The 23,220-nt window shown below is 45.0% G+C and overlaps 1 protein-coding gene across 1 annotated transcript in view, besides 1 other annotated feature; it reads left to right on the plus strand.

Annotated features, from left to right (window-relative positions):
* SLC24A3 (solute carrier family 24 member 3) overlaps nt 1-23,220 on the plus strand; it is a 510,285-nt gene that overhangs the window by 97,560 nt on the left and 389,505 nt on the right. The window lies entirely within an intron of this gene.
* Nucleotides 17,413-17,502: an enhancer, noted in NCBI's record as "active region_17598". NCBI's record gives its function as "activates an Ori minimal core promoter by ATAC-STARR-seq in GM12878 lymphoblastoid cells {active_cell/tissue: GM12878}" and the evidence as "EXISTENCE:reporter gene assay evidence [ECO:0000049][PMID:35858748]".

A 23,220-nucleotide genomic window follows, 5' to 3' on the forward strand; every position in this document is an offset into this window, starting at 1 on the left:
TTTCTGCCACATTCTAAACCCTTGCTACTCAGAGTGTGGCCTCAGGCCCAGAGGCATCAGCAAGACTGAGAGCTTATTGGCCACACAGAAGCTCAGCCCCCACCAGGAAAATGCACTGAGTCTGACCATGAATTTCAAAAGTTCCCAGGTGGTCATGTGCACAGAAGACTTGGACAAGTGCTGAGCTAGTGTATGTTCAGTAAATATTAATTTTCTCTTCCATTTTTAAACCTGGTGTATGAAATAAAAATCAATAAGGCTCTGAATGAGAGCTTGAGAAATGAGAAGCTCAATATCAGGGCAGGAATTCCATGAGGACTGTCTATTCTCTGGTCCAGGCCAGTTCTCTGGAAGGTCCGGGTTGCTTCAGGACTGACCTGCGGCTACCTGGGAAGGAAACTTACTGCTCCAGCCACTGTTCTTCCTCATAGATGTCTGCAGCCTATGAAGCCTTGCTGAGACAGTCATTATCTGTGCTGCAGTCATTCAGGGCAGCAAGCATATAAACAGAGCTTGATGCTGCCTTCAGCTTCCAGTTACATAACCTCACTTTGGAGTCATACTTTCCAGATGTTGTGTATGGACATGCTCCCTTCTTGCACTACCTGTTTCTTTAGCCACATTCAACTTTTGGGGGAAAGGTCTAAAGACAAGCTCCAAGGACAGCCAGCATGCTTTAAATCTGAAATAAAGCCTTTTTTGAGCTTATAATCATGTTTATTTGCTTTGCTGGAGTCTTTCTGAAAGCTTTTCATTTCTTTTTTATTCCCCCTCTATGTAATCTTCCTTCGTTCCTTTCTTCCTTCCTTGCTTCCATCCCTCCTTCCCTTTCCTTCCCTTTCCTTCCTTCCTTCTTGCCTTCCCTTCCTTTTTTCCTTCCTTGCCTTCCCTTCATTTTTTCCTTCCTTTCTTCCTTTAGTGGAGAAGCACAGTTTGGGGTCACTGGAGCTTGGGTTTTGGTTACTCATATGTGTGTAGAGACTTGAGTTCAGATTTGCGAGGAATTTGGGCATGAACCTAAACCTCATGTTCAAAGGCTCAAGGCTTCAAGAGAACCCCAGGCTTGCAGTCAGCAACTTTTGGCCAGCAGGGCCCGCGGATGGGTTCTCTGTATGTGGTGGATCATTCCAGGGCCCCACACAGGAAATCAGGATGAGGTCACTCAACAGCCCCATGCTCCTTCAGCTTTCATGCTGGTCCAGGCATTCTGCTAATGGTGGGAAGGTTTGGAGAAAGAAGAGATACAGTCCCAGCCCTCAGGGATCACATGCGGAAGGTAGTGGGGAGAGGAATCCAGCTACATCCACTCAGAGTGATCAATGCTGTACTACAGGTGTGCACGTTGGCCCCCACAGAGGGCCAGGATGGGGCCTCCCATCCTGGGAGGTGTGGGGTAAAGGAAGGCTTCCAGGAGGAGGCAGTGTTTGAGTCAACAAGTGTCCCCAAAGGAAAACAGTTAGATCAGATTTCACCAGGGAGGATGATGGTACTCATTTGAGGAGGTGGAAGCCATGAAGTCAAGATAGCCTGTTAGTAACAACAGTATGCAGCTCTCTTTTTTCCCCTATGGCCAGCAGGGAATTCATCTGCCACACTTACTTTCCACACTCATTAAATACATCTTCCCAAAGGGTGGCCTGGAGGAAATAGGGATGCAGTCTCCTGATGGGATCGAGGCCCACTGAGAAACATGGCTGCCGGTGCTGTGTGTGTAGCATGAGGGTTTCCTTCCCATGCGCCCTTCCTCTTTCCTCTGTTGTGGGTCATGAATAACTATGAATCCATTCGCTGCTCTTGTTCTACTTCATGTTTCAAACACAGGAAATGAGCCTCTAATATAAGAACAATAAACTCAGAGGTAGATCACTGCCCGGATGGAAAATTGCCATGTGAACCAAAATGACACTTGATTAGTTTGTTAAGGTGAAAACATTTTTCTAAGTGGCAGTGGGTGTCCCTCAGTGAGATCCCAGCATTGGAAGAGTTCTTCAGGGGTGTAAGACACAAAGTTCCATTTTCCCTTCAGTGAAGGGCTTCATTCTTGCATGTAGGGAAAGTATAGGTGTGCCAGACTTCATCGGTGGGTAGCCCAAGGCGCAGGGGACAGTGTTCCAGGGAACTGGTCAAAGCTCTAGGAATTTGGAAGTTAGAACAGTATAGGTATATATAGCTTTTATATTTATATAGTTGATTTTTTAAAACTTGAAGAATCATTTAAGAATGCATACATATCCTAGAGAACCCAAACAGTACTGAACTATACAGGGTAAAAAGTTAAAATCATTCTCCACTTACCTCCTCCAGCCACTCTGCACAAGGGTAACTGACCATTGTGAACAAGGAGGCCCAGAAGGTGGGATTCTTCATGATCTCTTCCTATTCATTCACAAGTATATATATAGGTTATTAATACACCAGTGAGATACACTTTACACTTTATTTTGGGACTTGCTAAACTGCTGCCTTGATGTTTTATTGTTTTGTTTTGTTGCCCTCACACCTTTTGTCTGGACTTTATGTTGACAAGTGTGATGGAGAAGGGCCTTGGGGTTGTGAGTTTTATCCCAGGACTTAAATGGAACCAGAGAGTTCCCATGTGCTTCTGAGGTTGCTCAAAGCTCAGAGTTCCATTGGCCTGGTGTGTTTTATGTGGTGGCAGCCTGGGTATTGGTAGCAATGGTGATGCTGGCACAGCCTGGCCACTTGGGTTTCCCTGGCCATTGTATTGTAAAGTTCCCATTTACTTTGTAGCAGTGTCAGGACCAACAAGATGAGGGAAAACAGAAATGTTCTCCAGGGTTTTCAAGTATTCTTCCTTTTCTCTTGCTTTTTTTTTTTTTTTTTTTTTTTTTTGACATGGAGTCTTGTTCTGTCACCCAGGCTTGAGTGCAATGGCAGGATCTCAGCTCACTGCAAACTCTGCTTCCCAGGTTCAAGCGATTCTTCCCCCTCAGACTCCCGAGTAGCTGGGATTATAGGCACCCGCCAGCATGCCTGGCTAATTTTGTATTTTTATGGAGACAGCATTTCACCATGTTGGCCAGGCTGGTCTTGAACTCTTGACCTCAGGTGATCCGCCTGCCTCAGCCTCCCAAAGTGCTGGGATTACAGGCATGAGCCACCACACACAGCCTCTCTTGTTTTTTTATGACCTCTTCTTTCTGGCCAAGGGAGACGAAATGAAGCATGTTGTTTCGGAGCTGCTCCTCCACCCAGAGATGGAATTAAATCAGAGCCTTCCAAGGAAAAGCAGTGGGGTGTCTGGTTCCTCCCCTGTTTGCTCTGGGCTCTGTACTTGAGTGGCACTGAGAAGGGCCAGGGAACCTGAGCTAGGCTGGAACCCAGCCTGTTCTGGGTCAGTGGCCCATTTCAGCTCTGAGGTCTGAACTTGCCTCTCCTGCCACTGCTAGGTCTTTCTTTTCTTAGTTGACTTAACAAGTCAGATTTTGAGATTTAACTAAGAATCCGAGGCATTAAACCTAGCTCAGCTACAGTAATCTGGCTGCTGATTCCATGTGGACATGTAACAGCTCCTGCTTTCAGAGCAGGTCCTGGGGATCACGGTGATATGGGGCAAGTTTCTCTTGTGCTTGAACCTTTTCTTCTGCCCTTTTCAAACTAGTAACAGGGAGGTACCATACTGACAAGTTTAATCCCTCTGGGGCTTTAGAAACTTGTTTTGCTGCTCCACTTCAACCCCATGAGGAGATGATACATCTTAAAGGATGGGCAGAGGGAGAGGGCGATGCCAGATACATGAGTTGAACTATAGAACTTCAGGTCTTGAGGTAAGGAAAGGAAAATTCATGCTGTAAGCATCCCCTGATGAAATTCACAGACCGGTCACTGTGGTCATTTATCCAGCTCATGTTTACAGAACCCAGGACTGTTGATAAACAACAAAAGCCTTCACCTTTGAAAATTTTCTGTCCCCAACTTTGTCTGTGGTTTTGCTGTAAGGTCCCAGGCCTGCAGACAGGTGTTCTTCCAAGGGCCAATATTTTTTTAGGAAGGTTGGAGTAAAGATGCACTGATACCTAGTTCTATTCCAAATCCTCTTTTTTTGTTTTTATTTATTTATTTTATTTTATTTTATTTTATTTTATTTTATTTTATTTTATTTTATTTTTGAGACAGGGTCTCAGTCCACCACCCAGGCTGGAGTGCAGTGGCGCAATCTCGGCTCACTGCAACCTTGACTTCCCCTGGCTCAAGTGATCCTCCCACCTCAGCCTCCTGAGTAGCTGGGGCTACAGGCATGCACCACCATACCTGGCTAATTTTTGTATTTTTTATAGAGATGGGGTTTCACCATGTTACCTAGGCTGTTCTCATACTCTCGGGCTCTAGCAATCTGCCCACCTCAGCCTCCCAAAGTTCTGGGATTACAGGCGTGAGCTACTGCGCCCTGCCTTTAAATCTTCTTTACTGGAATTGTAGACACTTAAGCATTCTCATTCCTTGTCTGCAGGATGAAGGGAGTTGCTGCGGAAGCTTCTCTGCCATCAGGCAGCCTGTAACTCCTGCCATGCCAGCACGCTTCCCATCCGTACTCACAGTCTTCCGGAAGGAATGTCAGCAAAGCTTGTCATAACACACCTTAGTGGTTACCAGGCCTTGGCCTGTCGGTGTGTCTGGACATGAGTTACCGACTGTGGGCAGGAAGTCTGACGTTTCAGATGTGTGATTTACACATGGTGTCTGCAATGCACAGAATTGCAGTATCACCCTGTCATCTGACATCATTAACTGCATGTTGTGGCATTTGGTCAAAGGCCACACATAAAAGTGCTGAAGAAGAAATTTGCTTTGATTTTCTAGGTGGTAGGGCCAGTGTGCTGGCAATCAGGTCACTTGCTTCTGAGGCACCCGCGTTCTGTCCCATCTGCTCTGTTTCTGCTATTTTTGCAAAGAAAGGGTCCTTGGCATTACTGTGCTCAGATTCGCCTATCCTTGCACCCACACCTGTCTCTATAGTTCACACAGGGTAGGTTGGTTTCCTCTGTGCTGGGCAGACCTGATTTCCCTCTTCTCCATCAAACTAGGCATGTTTTAAATGGGAAATGGAAAGGAGGCTGCGGCAGCAGCCTGGCAGTGGCCCCAGGGTAGGTTTTCCAGAATATGATGCTGTTAGGACGAGATCACTGGGGCTGGGGTGCCAGAGACCCCATTCAGGTGCAAAGAAGCAAGTGTATGGTTGAGGGATTTTCTATCCAGCACCAAATAGGAATGGAATGGAGTGTTCTGGAAAGAGGCAAGATTTGTGCTGAAATCCTGGGGTCATGGTCTTAGAAAGTCTTAGAAAGCTAAGTGGGTTATATGGCTGGGGGCAGATCCCTGAACCTCCCTGGGCTATGGATTCTTTCTACAAAGTGCTGATGTCCCTCCCTCCTGGTTGTGGTCATAGAAATTACATGGAAGCGTGCACTGCTGTGCTCAGGTCATGATCAAGAACACAGGTGCTGGTGACTTTCATGATCTGTTGATGTGGATCCAGTGGCTCTTCTGGTAGGAGGGTCATCACCCTGCTGGAAGATTACAGCACTGTAACCAGAGTTCACAGTTCTTTTGTTCACTCGTGTACATAAACGTAGGTGCTCCTCAATTTAAAATGGGATTATGTGCCAGTAAGCCTGTCCACAACTGAAAATATCATAAGTTGAAAATGCATTTAATACATCTAACCTAGCAAGCATCGTCACTTAGCCTAGCCTACCTTAGACATGCTCAGAACACTTACATTAGCTTACAGTTAGCCAGAATCATCTAACACAAAGCTTTTTATTACAAAGTGTTGAACGTCTCATAGATCTGTTGAGTACAATGTACTGCAGAATGCACTGGTAATAGCATGGCTGGGGGCGGCAGCTCACCGCAGCTGCCCAGCATCACCAAAGCCTATTGAACCACATATTGCTAGCTCAGGAAAAGATCAAAATTTAAAATCTGAAGTACACTTTCTACTGAATGTGCATCACTTTCTACCGTCACAAAGTGGAGAAATCCCAAGATGAACCATCAAAAATCTGGGACCACCTGTACTAAGGAAGCTCTAGTTAAGTGGGGGTTTGAGCAAAGACAAGGCTGCACAGTTCCTACCTCTTGGTGCTTCTGTAGAGCTGGAGTGAGAAGGGTGAAATAAAGGCTTACCAGGGTTTACATAAAAGGCCAAGGAAGGCAGCGTGTCCTGCAGCCACTGGGTCAGGGTGTAGGCTGAAAACCATCAGGGTTTGCTCCACCTCCGGGGGAGCAAGTACGATGGTCCCTTTGACAGGACAGGGTTTCCCTGTTTAATCTGAGCTATGGCTCATAAATCAGTCAAATAAAAAAATCCAATCTTGAAAATGTCTAGCATTTTCAAAAATTCTGGGATTCAGTGAAGACAATGGGAGCCATAAATCAGCCAGACACCAAGTCGTGCCGACTCCCCCTGGGCAGGAGCACAGAGTCCAGGCCAGGTTGGCCCTAGGGGCTGGGGAGAGGTCACCTGACCTGAAATGGACTTTGCTGAGGAGACAATGAGAATGATCTCAAGGTCTTTGCTGAGGAGGCAGACTTCTTTAAGTGTTCCCAATTAACTCTCTTTGCAAAATTTTTAAAAATAGAATCTCTTGATTTCTTTTTTTAAAAATTTCCTACTTTTATTTTAAGTTCAGGGGTACATGTGCAGGATGTGCAGGTTTGTGACATAGGTAAATGTGTGCCATTGTGGTTTGCTGCAAAGATCATCCCATCACCCAAGTATTAAGCCCAACATCCATTAGCTATTCTTCCTGGCGCTCTCCCTCCTCCCACCCCTCTGACAAAAGGCCATACACCTACAACCATCTGACCTTTGACAAACCTGACAAAAACAAGCAATGGGGAAAGGATTCCCTATTTAATAAATGGTGCTGAGAGAACTGGCTAGCTGTATACAGAAAATTAAAAACTGGACTCCTTCCTTACACCATGTACAAAAATCAATTCCAGATGGATTAAAAACTTAAATGCAAAACCCAAAACTATAAAAACCCTAGAAGAAAACCCAGGCAGTACCATTTAGGACATAGGCATGGGCAAAGATTTCATGACAAAAATGCCAAAAGCAATTGCAAGGAAAGCAAAAATTGAGTCTCCTTGATTTCTAAGTGAGCTACCGGTGACTGGGCAGACACATGCATTCGAGGTCTTAGAATCATCTCATTTCTGTTTCTCCTCAATTGCCAAGTGTTACTTTCATTTCCACTCTGCTCTGCAAGATGACTCCCCTGTGACCTGCTGCATTCACAGAAAAGAGGCAAAAGGAAAAAGATCACTTCAGGACAAAGCAGCCACAGCCAGGCCCATGGGCCATGCCTTCTCAGGCCACCCCTCACTCCTGTGACCCCAAAGGGTAAAACAGCTTCCCATCCCCCGCCCCAGGACACCTGTTTAGAAAGCTTATGAGGAAGATCTGTTCCTCCTTTGAGTTGCTGTAGACAGGTACACTCATCTTTGGGGAGGGTTCTCTTTTGTTCTCCCCTTCACCAGCTCACCCCTTCTTGCCAGGGAAATAGAATTGCTTGTCTGGGTGGATAAGCATGCCTTGTGTTTACAGGACACCTCTCTCCTGAGGAGTGTAAGCCTTTTACATAAAGGTGCCCTCGGGCATCACAGCTGGTATAGTAATAGCTGCATTCTCTGGGTCTTTCAGGAAGCAGACACCACTGTGCCTGCCCATGGTTCCTTGCTCTTACCACATTGGTGCACACTGGCCACATTCTGCCTGCTCACACCTGCATTCCTTTGCCCAAAGGCTTTCTTTGGAGGCCAGAGTCCACACTGCTTTGTGCATGGCAGGCTGGAAATGTCAGAGAATTAACGACCTCTGGAGCAGCCCTCAACCAATGGCTGATGGGAGGTGGTGTACAAATACCCCAGCTCCCTCATCCCTACAGGGGGCTGACTCTGAGGCACGAGTCTGCACTGTCTCCTAGAGTTGCCCAGTAGGATTATGCTCCACTTGCCCACAGCCATAACCTGCTGGATAACACAAGCTTTATGGGCAGCCTTTCCCCCTCTCTCTATTCCTTCTTCCTCTATCTTCACCTCCCAAATACATTACTCTCAGTGTCTGTTCAGTGGGATTGAAAGCCAAGACATTTACTTGCATCCTTTTGTAGGTGGGCGATGGTAGACCTAGGGAAGAAGTAATTAGCCATGATGAGGAGGCTGAGAGACAAGACCCAAGAAAGACCAGAGCCAGGGGGAAACACTGGCATCTCTGCCTGGGGAGGCTGTGCTACCTCCTCATCCCTAGTACTGATGTTCACGACTCTTCCAGAAAAGCCGAGTTAGCTCTCCTCATGCTGATTTCCTGAGACTTAGCTGCTCTTATTACCAGATATGAAATCAAGAGTGGGAGACACCACATGTACTCCTTTGCCACAAAGAGGCCCCCTTGCAATCTCCAGTCCTAGTCTCTTGCTTGTCCCACAGGTAGAAGGGTAGGTGTGGGGAGGGAATACTGCTGTGCACCTGAGACACTTAGTTTTAGTGGGAAAAGACAGCACAAGGACACGTGGGATGCTCTTCAGGGCTGGAAGAGAGGCTGATGGGGGTGGGGCAGTCATGTCCCCAGAACTGCTGTCCTGTCACTTGCAGGGTTACAGCCTGCCTGCGAGGGGAGATAAATATTCTGTCTTGTTCCATGCTGAATGGCTGCCTCGGTCTAAATGATGCTTTTTTTTCTCCTTTTGAGATAGCATCTTTACTTCCACACAGTTCTTCCCCTTGTTACCAGCATTTTCCAGACCTCAGAAGAAAGTTCGAGAAGGATCCTGGTCTTGGTGATGTGAGAGCTCCTTTGTGCCATGTTTTAGAGCCTCTGCTTCTTTTTGCCTGCCAGTGAGTTCACTGCACTGCTGTTCTTTGCCTCTTCCTGCTCTAAACTTTACAATTGGTTTGCCAGGGTGAGGCTCTGTTTCCTTTAGGGAAGTAGAAATAGAAGATCAAAGTGAATCTAAAGGAACCATGGACTCTACTGTCCCATGAGCAGGACACTGGTAGGGGCTGGCTGGGCTTAATTTTTGCTCCGTAAATATGCATGTGTGTTTATTACTTAAAAAGTGTATCTCAAGTAAGCATTTTCCAGCAGAACTGCCTTATACATAAATCAGTGCCTCAGACCTATTGCGATTCATAGGCTCTGCACCTGAAACTCAGATGTGGCTCAAATGCAGTGGTGTGATACCTACCACAGCAACTCGCCGCTGCTCACTCTTCCTCACTCACAGTCAGCCCTGCCTCATGGCAAGCTCCTCTTGGGTCCTTGGTGGATGCATTGAACTGATACTTCTGCGGGTGTGGCTTCAAGACATGCTAGAGATGCAGAAATTAATAAAATAGACTCCTTGCCCTGGAAGCACCAGAGTCTAGGAGGCAGAGTGCTGTTTAAAATACTCAACAGTGACAGAGTACCTGGCCCTAGGTTGGATGCAGTGAGATTTTAGCTCTTGGAGTTAATGGGCCATGGGGGAGGCGGTGTTGAGGGGTCCTGGTGGAGGAGGCAGCAGGAAAGCACAGGAGTGGGCACTGGAGGCATTTGGAGGGCAGTTATTTACCAGCTGGTACAGAGCATCTTGGTATTTTAACAGCTGGTACACCTGTACATGTGTACCCCAGCTGGCCTGTGCCCATTTGACCATGGGGTCATGGGACGCATACCTAAGGAATCAGTGCACTGGGTTTGTCAAAGGGTGGTGGCTCCCTGCCAAGCATGGGGAGGTCGCAGAGCTTCCTCCTAAAACTCCTAGGGCAGCTCTTCTAGACCTGCTCTACTTCTCAGCAGCTGCAGCATGGATGGGGAAAGCTGGATCCATACAGCTTGCTCACCTCTAATTACGTTTGCTTGAATCTGTTGGCAGGTCAAGGCTGTGCCTGGAGCCCAGTGTGTTTAAATAAAAGCTGAGCTGAAGACGCGCCAATGTCCCTTGTCCTGCTCTGTAGCTGTTTTGTGGCTTTGTTTTCTGTCGGGCGCCGACGGTCCAGGCTTTGTCATTTGGAGAAGTGGTGTGCATGTGTTTTTGTTTCACTCAAAAGATGGTAATTTCCTAACATCATAAAGGTCGAGTTATGAAATTAACATGAGGGGATGCCTGAGTGGAACTTAAAAGATTATTTCCACCTCATTTAAGAGATTGATGCTGAATTGCTATTCTGGAGCTCTTGGGTTTGGGCATCTGCTCATTTTTCTGGGACAGATGTTGTCCCTAGCTTTGTTCATGGGATGGTCATTCTGCTTGGAGTGTGCTGACCTCATGGACACAGTTCATGTCTGGCTTTATGTCCACATCCTATGCAGGGGCTTTATCACATCTGCTTGGTCTCTCTCTCTCTGTTATGCATTATGGACACACACATGCATGTTACATTACGTTACACATATTTTATTACTATTCAGTTGTCGCTCGGTATCTTCAGGGGATTTGTTCCAGGACCCCTCACAGTTGCCAAAATCCGAGGGTGGGTGCCCAAATCCCTGATATGATCCTCCCATATGCTTTAAGTCATCTCCAGATTAATTGTAATACCTATTGCAATGTAAATGCTATGTAAGTAGTTGTTTTACTGTATTGTTTAGGGAATAATTACGAGAAAACAGTCTGTACATGTTCAGTACAGATGCAATTTTTAAGATATTTTCAATCTGAAGTTGGTTGACTCTGTGGATGTGGAATTCATGAATGTAGAAGACTGACTGTATACAGAATGTGTGTACATGTACACACACATATATATGTATTGAATATGTGGATATATATGTATACATACATACATATGCATGTATTGTGTCTATATGCAGTTAGTCCTCTGTATCCACGGTGAATTTGGAATCCACAGATATAGAGGGCTCACTGTGTGTGTGTATATATATATGTATTTATATATATAATTTACTTTTTTGTGTGAAAGCGTTTGACAGTAAGCTGCAGAAAGACATCATGACTCTTTGGCTCTAAATACTTCAGCCTGATCTAGAAACAAAGCCATTATATTCCTGCTCATAACCACAGTGTCATTATCACACTCAAGACATTGGAGCAGTAACCTTAAGAAGTTTAAAAACAATACAAGTAAGGTTTTTGTCACATTAAGCACTTGAGTGATGGAGCGAACACAGCGATTACTCATTATGGACTAAGCGTTTCCCAAGTCCCTGGCATGGGCTGAGCACTGCACTTAGCACTAAGGAGGCAACAGGCAGAGGAAAAACATGAATCGGTGAAGACAGTGAAAACATGTGAAGGAAAGGAAAGGAAACTTAGAGAAGCTCATGCTACGTAACTTCAATCTTGGAAAATCTTAGAACATTAAAAGCCACTTCTATCTCTAGACTGTTAGATCATCCAGAAATCAATACAAATCATCTTAAGATTATCTTATGTCTTAGGTCTCTAAGACACTTGTTACATTTAAATGGGCTTAAAATAATTAAAACCATATGTTAAGGGAGAGTGGATAGAAGATGCTGTAAAGTTTTGTATAGTTACCTTCCAAGACGTTGAATAAATACAGTTCCATTTTCTGGTCAAATTAATGTCAATAATGTCTAATATATTCCTATATTCTTATTTCTCCAAATCATCTCCAAAAGTCTTCTATAGTTTTATTTTTTAAATCTAGAATCTAGCCAAGGTTCCCACATTGCATTTTAGAAAATCTCCTGCCATTTTCTTTTTCTTCCAGCCACTGACATTTGGATGCATCCAGGCCTGTTGACTTGCAGAATGCCCCATGCTCTGAACTTGTCTGATTAACGGATTACCTCTCTCTGATTAGATGCAGGATGAACATCTTTGACATCAGGGGTGCGGTGCCCTTCCCAGTGCATCACTTCAGGAGCCACACGATGTCAATATCTCTCATATTTGTTAACTCTGACTGCTTGGTTATGAAGTGTCCACCAGGTTGATGCTTTGTCTATGTAAGGTGCTCCTGCTTCTCAACAACCTTTCCCTCTGTGGCTTTAGTATCCTTGGATCATCCTCTCCTAGATCTTTATTATAGCAGGGTGTGCAAAATGGTGATTTTCCTATTCAATCATTTCTTCTACGTTAGCTGGTATTCCTCTCTAAATATACCCCTCCCCTTTTAGTATCATTATGGATTCATGGATTGAGCCTTCTTTCCTTCCTTCCTTCCCTTCCTTCCTTCCTTCCTTCCTTCCTTCCTTCCTTCCTTCCTTCCTTCCTTCCTTCTTTCCTTACATCCGTTTTTAATCCATTACCTTCATTGTTCTTTTTGGTTTTCAAATTGTCCCAATTTTGGACATAAGAGCCCATTTAAGCTGACATGGTCCTAACAGAATTTCCAAACTCACCTTTTTCTTTCCTGTGTGGGTATTTTTGACTTTCAAAGGCTTGGGATTTCCCTCTAGCCTGCATCTACTTGTTCTGTGAAATTTAGTTAGGTTATAACAGTCTATCTTGTAATTATCGAGCACTGGTCTTAAACACATAGTGCTCCCTCATGTTCACTCTGCACACACAGGAGATGCAATTTGCACACCAGACCTTGGCTCACAGCCACAAGCTCCTGGAATGCAGCAAACCCAGGGCCTGTGGTTAAGCCCTTCTCTGAGCTTGTAAGGATGAACTCTTCTTATCAGCTGGAGCTGGCAAAAAGACGGTAGACATAAAGACAGTGGGGCTGGAAGGAACCCATTTTGGATGAAGAAATTTTCCTTTAAGAAGAAATATAGGCCGGGCGCGGTGGCTCACGCCTGTAATTCCAGCACTTTGGGAGGCCGAGGCGGGCGGATCACGAGGTCAGGAGATCGAGACCATCCTGGCTAACACGGTGAAACCCCGTCTCTACTAAAAATACAAAAAATTAGCCGGGCGTGGTAGCGGGCGCCTGTAGTCCCAGCTACTCGGGAGGCTGAGGCAGGAGAATGGCGTGAACCCGGGAGGCGGAGGTTGCAGTGAGCCGAGATCGCGCCACTGCACTCCAGCCTGGGCGACAGAGCGAGACTCCGTCTCAAAAAAAAAAAAAAAAAAAAAGAAGAAGAAATATAACCTTCTTTATTCTTCAAGCTATTAGAGCATTGAGAATAGAGCTTTGTAATTATAAGCAGAATGACCTGGAGCAAAATTTATGCATGGACTAGCGGAGGTTAGAGTGTGAGCAGGTCCATGCCACATAAGCTTTTGGATGACCCAGCCTGAAAATGTTCCAGATTTATCCTAGGACACACAGGTTTCAACTATAGTGGGTGTTTCTGGCAAGGTTGATCATTTCTTTTATATTTAAGATATTTTAAAATATAAGGGTACCTCAAGAACCAATGGAATAAGGCCTTGTGGAGCAAACAGGACTAGACCTTCATATCCAGACAGCTGTCCCCCCAGCACACATCCCTAGCCTGCTGCAGGGAAGTCCTCACTGTCAGTTTTCCCCCTGTGAACCCCACATCCAGTGGGTTCACCAGGCAGTTAATATGGGAGGCCAAGACCTAAGGGGGACTTTAGCTACTATTTATACATTTTATGGAACCTTCTATCAGAGAAGTGCTGGAAGCCACACTGACCCATGAGGAAAAGTGAAAGCTGGAACTTCATTTGCTGAGATGGCAGAAGAATAAGCTTTAGCTGGAAAATTGTTCCTTTCCATTACTCAGTTTAAAAAAGTTTTTTTGATAGCTCTGCAAACCATTTAATTGATGTTATTATCATCAGCAGCATCATTAGCATTTCAAAAAAGTCTGCTAAATTAAGAATATTTGCTTTCTAGTCTGTCATAGATAAGAAGAATACCTGCCTTGCAAGGTCGTTGATTGGTACATGAGATCACACACAGGGAGCTCTCATCACAGTGCCCGGCGCAGGATGAGAGCCCAGAAAACGCTGCTGGTGATGACTGAACAAGCTTGGTTGCTGCCATGATGTGGCCTAGGAACACTTCCAAATGAAAAATGCTCTTCCCAAGCCATTAAATAATTCTTCCTGTTTCAGTCATGTGAAATCTCCTGGCTGTTCACTGTGGCGGATGAGAAGTCACAAGTGGATGTTGGGGGGCAAGTTTGACTGTCCCTTCCCCTCATTAGAGAAGGGAAAATTAGCCAGAATCCTGCCTTCCTTGGTGCTAAAACTTCACTGGATTGGTTTGCAACCATTTTTGATTTGAATATTTTTAACTGCAGTGAGATTGGGTTACACAGATACTATCGTGTCTAAATTATACATCCTGTGGCATTTATCACAAGACATTTTCACTGCTCTAACAGATGAGTGGGAAGTTCTGCTTTTAAGAACGTATCTTTCTCAGGTTGGCACTAAGTGGTGTCACAGTCCCATGTCCCCCAGGGTTGTCCTGGCCTTGGGGTTCACTGTGCTCTTTGGCCTCAGCCACGCTTCTCACTGCTTCTTCTGACTTTGCGCCATGAGGGTTTGACATTTTTACCCATCCGTATAATCAAAGGCAATCAAGTTGTTGCTTCATTAATGACGTTTCCTTAGGCTATGTCTATAGAATACCAATTATATGGCTGGAAATTGGGCTAAGTCAATTATCTTATTTTTCCCAAAGAGTTTAACACAATCTGAGATTTGGATTAATATTGTGACACATGCCGTCCTGAGAAATGTCTCAGACTTTTGTTCAACGAGTTAATCCTCCTGCTATCTTCACTTTTCTTTTCTTTTTTTCTCTCAAATTTTATTACAAAATATTCACTAACAATACAAAAATCCAATGTCTTCACTTTTCAATCGTTACCCTGGCAGTTGACATTCAAGAACCACAGCTCTGCTGTTATGACAGCTTGGAAGGTGAATGGACGGTAGATGGTAGAGCCTTTTTTTTTTTTTTTAATGACACTATCTCATTCTTACTCATGTTTGTCATTCTCTTGCACTCCTAAAATACCTTAGGTAGCTTTTCGGTCAGTGGGGTCACCTCCTTAGGAGAGAGAAGGAACCCAGGCTGGCTACAGTGGCTCACGCCTATAACCCCAATACTTTGGGAGGCTGAGACAAGGGGATCACTTGAGGCCAGAAGTTCCAGCCTGGGAAACATGGTGAGACCTTGTCTGCACTACAAAATAATAATAATAATAATAATATTAATAATAATTACCTGGGTATGGTGGTGCATCCCTGTAGTCCCAGCTACTGGTGGGGCTGAGGCAGGAGGATCCCTTGAGCCCAGGAGTTCAAGGCTGCAATGTGCTGTAATGGCATCACTGCACTCCAGCCTGGGTGACGACCGTGAGACCCTGCCTCAAAAAAATAAACAAACCAACAAGAAAGGGAATCCAGACCACAGCCTTGGGTGCTGCATTGGATGAATAGTCCCTCCTGTTCTCAGAAGCGATGGTGGTTTCTTCCAGTGCCCTGCTCCTTCCTGACCACCTTCATGGGAGAGGAGGCAGCTACCAGGGCCCTAGGATGTCCAGGTTGAGTGTTCCTTGTCTGAAGTACTTCAGACCAGAAGTATTTGGGATTTGGAGATTTTTTTGTTTTTTTGTTTTTGGATTTTGGAATATTTGCAAATATGCATATATATATATGTGTGTGTGTGTGTGTGTGTATACATACATACATATATATATACATATATATATATATATATAGAGAGAGAGAGAGAGAGAGAGAGAGAGAGAGAGAGAGAGAGAGGGAGACATCTGGAGGAGGGGGACCCAAATCTAAACATGAAATTTATTTATGTTTCATATACACTTTATACACATAGTCTGAGGGTAATTTTATACAATATTTTAAAGAACTTTATACACGAAACAACGTTTTGACTGCAACCAGTCACATGAGGTCAGGTGTGGTATTTTCCACTGGTGCTTCATGTTGGTGCTTATAAAGTTTTGGATTCTAGAGCATTTTGGGTATTGTATTTTAGGATTAGGGATGTTGAACCTGTATTTCTCTCTGAGTGTGTTGTTCTGCCTGGCACGTGAATTCTTCCTTTGGCATCCAGGGCCTGTAAGCAACAGATGGGGTATGCAAAGGGGGTAGTGCTTCATGAAGGGCCCCCATTACCGAGATGTGGGCAGGACAAGGGAGCCAAGAGCAGATGGTGAAGCACCCAGAGGACCAACAGTGAGGGGCCATCATCATCCTCTGCCCAAGGGAGCAAAGGAGGACAGGGACGAGCTGTGGATGCTGGGGACTTGATGGGGACTATGGGCTGGGAGAGAACTACGAGAATAACAATCCTGACTACTCTCTTCTTTCACTCTTTAACTTCCTGCCATTGGCCAAATCCACCTGGAAGCCAGAGGGGAAAGGAGCCAGGTCCGGCCTCCTGGGGCACAAACTAGGGGCAGTGGGTGTGTAGAGCTGGATCAGGGTAAAAAGGAGAATTTCTAGCACATTCAGTTTTTTCTTTCTTTTCTTTTCTTTTTTTTTTTTTTTCTTGAGATAGTGTCTCCCTTGGTCTCCCAGGCTGGTGTGTAGTGATGCAATCATAACTCACTGCAGCCTCGACCTTCCAGGCTCAAGAGATTCTCCTGCTTCAGTCTCCAGAGTAGCTGGGACTATAGACACATGCCACCACACCAGCTAATGTTTGTACTTTTATTTTTTGTAGCGACAAGGTCTCACTGTGTTGCCTAGGCTTCCCTCAAGCTCCTGGCCTCAAGTGATCCTCCTGCCTCAGCCTCCTAAAGTATGTTGTCCTTTTTAAAATACAGAACAAAGCTTGTTTCCTTTGTTTTACAGAAATAGATTATTTGGAAATCCAGGAAAAGTAGATCCTGCCAATAATTAGGTCCTGTTTAGAAACTCATTAGCAGAAGACTTTGCTCTGGGAAAGAGTTGCGGCCTTCCCATTTTATGAAGGTTTACTGTTCTCTACATTTAATTTAACTTTTTTATTTCTTTAATTTAAAAAAACGTACTAATATTTAGCTACCAAGTATTGGATCATTTTATCCTGTTCTGTTTCAAACACCTGGAAGGTAATTTCTAAAGCTCTTTTCTCTGGTGATTACTGGAGAGGTAGATTACTGGAAATGCGTTGAGCTTGTCCAGCTATTGAGAAGGTCACTGTTGACTCCCGTGTGTCCTCACTCCATGGCGGGGCAGGGAGAGTGACGGAGCAGCAGGCAGCCACAACTGCTTTGTTCCCAAATGTCAAGGCATTGGGTTGTCAATAAAAAAACGTTCTTTCATTTTCCCATGCAAAGTGCCCTCAGGTAGAGATGCCAACGGATGGAACATATGAGCAACAAATGATTTGTTAACTTCACAGACTCTTGCCAGAATAAACAAGAGAAGTGGCAGTGAGTGCTCTACCCAGAGCCCCCTCTGGAATCTCAGCATGAGACTTCACACATTACAACCCTTCTGACAAGGGTTGTACAAGGTCTCCACATCTTTGCCTCAAGTGGAGCTGGCTCCAGGACATGTGGTTCTGCTCTGATGACTGTCTGTTCCATTTGCATGTGGTCTTTGTCGTCATATCATTGTTAGATGTTACTGACGTGAGCTTGTCTGCTCCCAGCCTCAGGACGCCTGTGGCTTTCTTGGTTTCCCCTACTTTCATGGTCTGATGCATGGGTGCATCCTTCTTGTTTTGTCTCCATTTCCACAAGATTATGTAGAAGCGCGTTCATTCATTCAATGTATATTTATTGGACACCCACTGTGTGTCACTCATTATGTGTTCTGGAACATAAGGACAAGGAACAAAGAAGGAAAAGTCCTTCCATGCATGGAGTTTCCATTGGGGTGGTGGGGGCTGGTGGTGAAGACAAACAAAAACATGCACAAATAAATGTAAAGTATGCTCGAAAGTGATACAGAAAAAAAATGAACAAGGTGAGAGGGATGACAAGTTGGGGGGAGTTTGGAGGGCTTGCTTTTTAAGGCCAAGGTTGAGGTGACATTTGAGCAGTCTCTGAAGGAGGGAGGGAGGGAGCCATGGAGAGTTCTGAGGAAGAGCATCCAGGCAGAGGGGCAGCAAAGGCCAGGGATGGAAGCACGCTTGGTGTGTCCAGAGAATGGCACAGAGGGTCAGTGTGGCTGGAGCAGAATGAGGGAGGAGGAGAGGAGTTGGAGGGACGTCAAAGGTCGTGGGGAACCAGGTCTCTTAGGGTCTTGGGGGCTGGTGGAGGTCTTCTGCATTCACTGTGGAGTGGAGAGCCGCCTCTTGCTTCCTGTGACCAGGCATACATTGTTAAAGGATCAACCAGAATGTTGGATTGATAATAAAATGTAGTGGGCAAGAGTGGAAGGTGAAAGACTCCAGAGAGTATTATAATAATGGTGGCTCAGTTCAGAGCAGTAACAGGGGCAGGGTGAGGCGGTATCTGATTCCGGACATGGTTTGCCTTCTTGCAGGATTGACTGGACATGGTTTGAATTGGTGACAACACCCTGAAGGAGTGGATGTGGGTGAGAAAGAGCAATAGAAGACTCTGCAATTCCTGGCCTGAGCAGTTGTAGGAGAAGGTGAGGGGCGGGTGGAGTGAGCTTCATGGGAGACCGGGTGTCCTGTGTTGGAAGTGCTCATTTTGAGATGTGTCCTGGGTGTCCCAGTTGAGATCATGAGTAGGATGATAATAAGAGTGTGTGCATCTGGAGTTCAGGCTGCAGGTCAAGGCTGGAGATACCAAGGGGGGACTGGGAGGAAGACAGAAGCTTATATTGACAGCCATGAAGTGGAGGGGATTCCCCACAGGAGCAAGCGTAAGCAGAGAGAGGACTAAGAGCCCAGCCCAGGCTCTGCGAGGAGCCAGCAGAGGAGGCTCGGAGGAGCAGCCATCGAGGCGGGAGGAGGATCAGGAGAGGTGGCCTGAAAGTTGGGCACCAGGGAGGCGGGAGTGAGCAGTGGGTTGCAGGCTGTGGATGCATCAGGCGACTCCAAGGCCATTAGTGACATGGACAGGAAGAGTTGTGGTGCTGGTAGGAACAAAATTCTGATTGTAATGGGTCCAAAAGAGGATGGAAGGGGAAGGATTGGAAGCAAAGCAGATTGATAACTCTTTTTAGTTTTGCTACAGAAAGGTGAAGTAGTATAGTAGTTCATAGGGAAAATGGGAATAAGATTTTTTTTTTACTGGTTAGAAATAAAACGAAAGTATAATAATAAAAAAAGAAAAAAGCTTGTTTTTATGCTAATGAAATGGTTTCCTGTTTACCTGAATGTATTGGCTTTACAGAGTCTTTTTTCTATTCATATTAACTGATCTGAATCCATTTCTTGCACTCCTTCATTACATGAGCATACCTTCCCTCCTATCAGTAGAGCCGGTCATTATTCCTATAGGAAACACAACGAGATGCTCTCAAGTCCAGTTTAGTTCAGCTATTCCTTGGGCACTTATAAATCATTTCATATGCTCAAGAAAGAAGTTTGTCACATTACTTTGGTCATTATAATGTTTGATTGTTTTATTCTATCATGAAGCTATGAAGGCTATTTTGTATGCAGTATTATTGAATTTGTTGCCTAGTTTGCAGGGCAGTGAGATATATTGTGGATTTATTCTTCTGGGAACAGATAAGATCCCTCCTTCTGAATCTTCTGCCCCAGAAATATTTTTCCCCCTTCATAGCTAAGTGACTCAGGTGAGTTAGTTTGTGGTTGAAAACATGTTCCTTGATTCCAAGTTTGCTGTTTGCTTCATCTCATCTACTTAATACACAGTGAGTGCTAGCCTTTTACCTGTGCTATTTGAAGGTCAAGGCTTTGACCTTGGCAGCATGTGGGGACCCTCTGTGAGCTGATGTATGTGAAATTTTGCTTGTTCCAGGTTGGAGGCCTGCCATGTTACTGGACACCCCTCGAGCTGGTTGGAATTAGTTTTAATCATCTGCAGTCTCTACACATGATTTTAACTCAGAAGGGCTCCTTAACACACATCACAGACCATTTTACACCATGTTTATTGCAGCAAGAGTCTGGGGCTAACCAGATGACACACTCGTCTTCTGAAACAAAATCGTGCCTTAGGACGGAACCATCTTAGTTGCTTGCAGGGATGCGGTGCTGTTGTCTCCTGGCCAGAGGTTTCCCTGGGCAGGGCTGGGCTGAGGAGGGCCTCCAATCGGTGGGTCTGGACCTGCTCAGACTCCTCAGGGCTGGTTTCTCTTTGTCCCAGAGGAGGTGGTCAGGGACAGTGAAGAGCTGTGGCTGAGCCAATTAAATGGCCCCCAGCTGTCCAGGGCCCTGATGTGGGAGAAACGCTTATTTCCCCATTAAAGGGGAAAAAGGGCATCTTTGAAGCAACCAGGATTTTATGAATGTACTTAAAAATTATCCTCTTTTATACAGAAGCCATCTTGAAAGGGCTCTCACTGGCCAAATATGGTATATTTCAGGAGAGGAGATAAAATATAAATCTTGGGAAATAAGAATCCATGATTTCATACTTATAATAAATAGATAAAGCAGTGGAGAAGCAAATGTGGAAGGAGGAGGGCTCTTGCTTTCAGTAGAACACTGACTATTAACTGCTAAATGTGGAGAAGGTGCTGAGTTGGAAACTCATAATTTTGTAACTATCACAGTAAAGATTGGTCTGATAAAAGTCATCAGTAGATGCAAAATCCATGGGAAAGTTTTGATGAGGATATTTGCATGGTCTTCAAATGCCTCTCATAAGTGTACAGTGGGTAAATATGACAGCACCTTGACTGAAACTTCCTTGTTAAAGTTAACATCACCAAGGAGACCGATGGTCATGGTGCCCTCCACATGTGATACACCTTCCTTTCTGCAGTATTCTGGCAAGGAAGGCATGACTTGAATCTAGTTATGAGGAAGCACCAGAAAAACCCCCAATGAGGAACATTCTATTGAAGCAAGGGACTGTGTTCTTCCAAAATGCTGAAGTTGTGAAAGACAGGAAGGCTGAGGAATAGCTCCACATTAGAGGAGACCAGGGAGGTGGGACAGCTAATTAACCACACCTGAATCAGATCCTGTACTGGAGGGAGAAGTGCTTTAGTGCATATTATCGGGTCAATTGACAGTTTGAAAATGGACAGAAGTTTAGATAAAAGAGTTGTATCAGTGATAAACTTACTGGAATTGATGAGTGTGCTGTGGTCATGTTAGGGAATTCCTTTATTCCTGGGAAATAAGCATTGAAGTATTTAAGGGTGAGGGGCAATGATGCTTGCTACCTACTCTAGAACAGTTCAGGAAAAATGGTATAGATAGATGGATGGATGAGTGGTGGACAGATAGGTAGGTAGGTAGGTAGATAGAGTAGATATGATTGATAGATGGATAGATAGGATAGTTGGATGAATGCATAGATAGATGATAGAGAGAGATAATAGATAGAGATAGAAATGATATAGATAGATAAACAGAATGCTAACAAAAATGAGTACAATATTGACAATAGGTGAATCAGGGTAAAGTGTTTATGGGAGTTCCTTGTACGATTGTTGTAATTTTTCTACAAGTTTGAAATTACTTCCCTGCAAAAAATAGAATAAATAAATCAGGCCCCCTTTTTATTGACTGATTGATGCCTTCTTTCAGGATTGATTGGGCATTGGTCCATCTCAGGCCCCATCTTTCATGCTGTGAGCCACACAGACAAGCTCCTGATTCTCATGAAGCTTCCATTCTAGGGGGAGGTGTCAGAATTAAGGAATAAACAAAGAACAATTAGAAAGCATCTGATTTTGATCAGTGTTACGGAAAAAGGGAATGAGGAATAGGTCGTGATGGGGGTCGATGGGAGGCGTCCTTTGGATCAGGAGCCATGGGAAAAGGAATTTGATTGAGGGAAGGAGTCATTCCTATAACCAGCCAAGGAAGAACATTCCAGGCAGAGGGACCAGCCGCTGCAAAGGCACCCAAGCCGGAGGGAGACGGAGGTGCTTGAGGAACACAGAAGGACATTGCAGCTGGGGATTAGGGAGAGAAGGAGAAGAATTGGAGCGTCTTGCAGGGCTGGACCATCTAAGGTCTTGTCTGCCATGGTAAGGAGTTTAGATTTTATTCTAAGTAGCAGAGGGAGTCCATGGAAGGTTGGAAGAATGAAGTGACATTAATGAATTCATGTCTCCATATATCACTCTGATTATTGTGTGGAGCTTGAATTGTAGTGGGACACTGAGCAGGAACAGAAGCCAGTGGGCCACCGCTGTGGCCTCTCTGGGGACACAGCCACCCCCTCAACAGGGAGCAAGGCAGCTCCCTGAGCCCCCTTGCCTTGTTTCCCCTCGCCAGCCCTCACCCTCATGGGGTTGATGTCTTTAGGAGTATAGCATGATTCCGGCACACCATCTTTTTTTATTTCTTTTATATCAACACATGTCTTTAGTGAAGTCACTCAATGCCTTTCAGCAACTCTAAAAATTTACCAGGTTTCTTTTTCCAACATTACTTTGACACATGCCAAGAATGACAAAAATGCATCTCTCTTCAACTGACTTCTTTCTGCTGTTGAGCTGCCTTCAGTCTTGAGCACTGGGGAAGAATAAATAGAAACCCAGAATGGGACTGAGGAGACCCAGTTCCACAGGGAGAAAACCACCTTGAGGTTTCAGAAGGGTATTTGGGGGTTCCCAGCGCTCCCTAAAATAGGAGAGGTGGCAAGAGGACCTTGGTCCCATGAACACTCCAGCACTACATGGGATACTCTGAGGACACAGAGGCTGTGGCTTTTCTTGCCTGTTGGTGGGTTCTCTTCTCTGCCTCTATCCTGTGCTACCAGCCACCCTCATTGAGAATTTGGAATTCTTAAGTCTAGGGAGCCAGGACAATTTAGGGAGGATGCTCTAAATAGCTTTCTGGTTTTGTCTCCTCCCAGGGTCAGATGAACTGAGGTTTTTCTTTAGCAGGCTAAAGGGGCTGTGTCTGGGTTCTTGTGGCTAATAGAGGGCTGTTTTGTTGTGGGATCATCCTGCCAGAAACTGGGAGGGCCAGGGAAGTGTCCTTCAAAGCTGTGAGTGATTCTTTAAAGAGGGGCAGTGGTTGTAAACCCTTCACACTTCAAGCCATGTGGCTGTCTGTCTGTTTATCTGTCATCTGTCTGAGGAGTGAGGGGATGTGTAGTGGGACAGTGGGTGTCCCTGGAAAGAAATTTATCCCTGACATCAGTAGTTGTGGTCAGACATTCAGTTGGTTATGAAGAGTGGTACCCTTTTATCTTCCCCCCTGGACTTAATATTTATCTGCCCTAATGCATCTGTTCATTACAACCAGGGTGCTCAAACTAGGGGCTGAGAAACAGATTCTGGTGGGAGCTTCAGTGGCCCCAGCAGATGCAGGAGT

Source organism: Homo sapiens, chromosome 20 (genome assembly GCF_000001405.40).
Source record: "Homo sapiens chromosome 20, GRCh38.p14 Primary Assembly".
NCBI classification, from domain to species: Eukaryota; Metazoa; Chordata; class Mammalia; order Primates; family Hominidae; genus Homo; species Homo sapiens.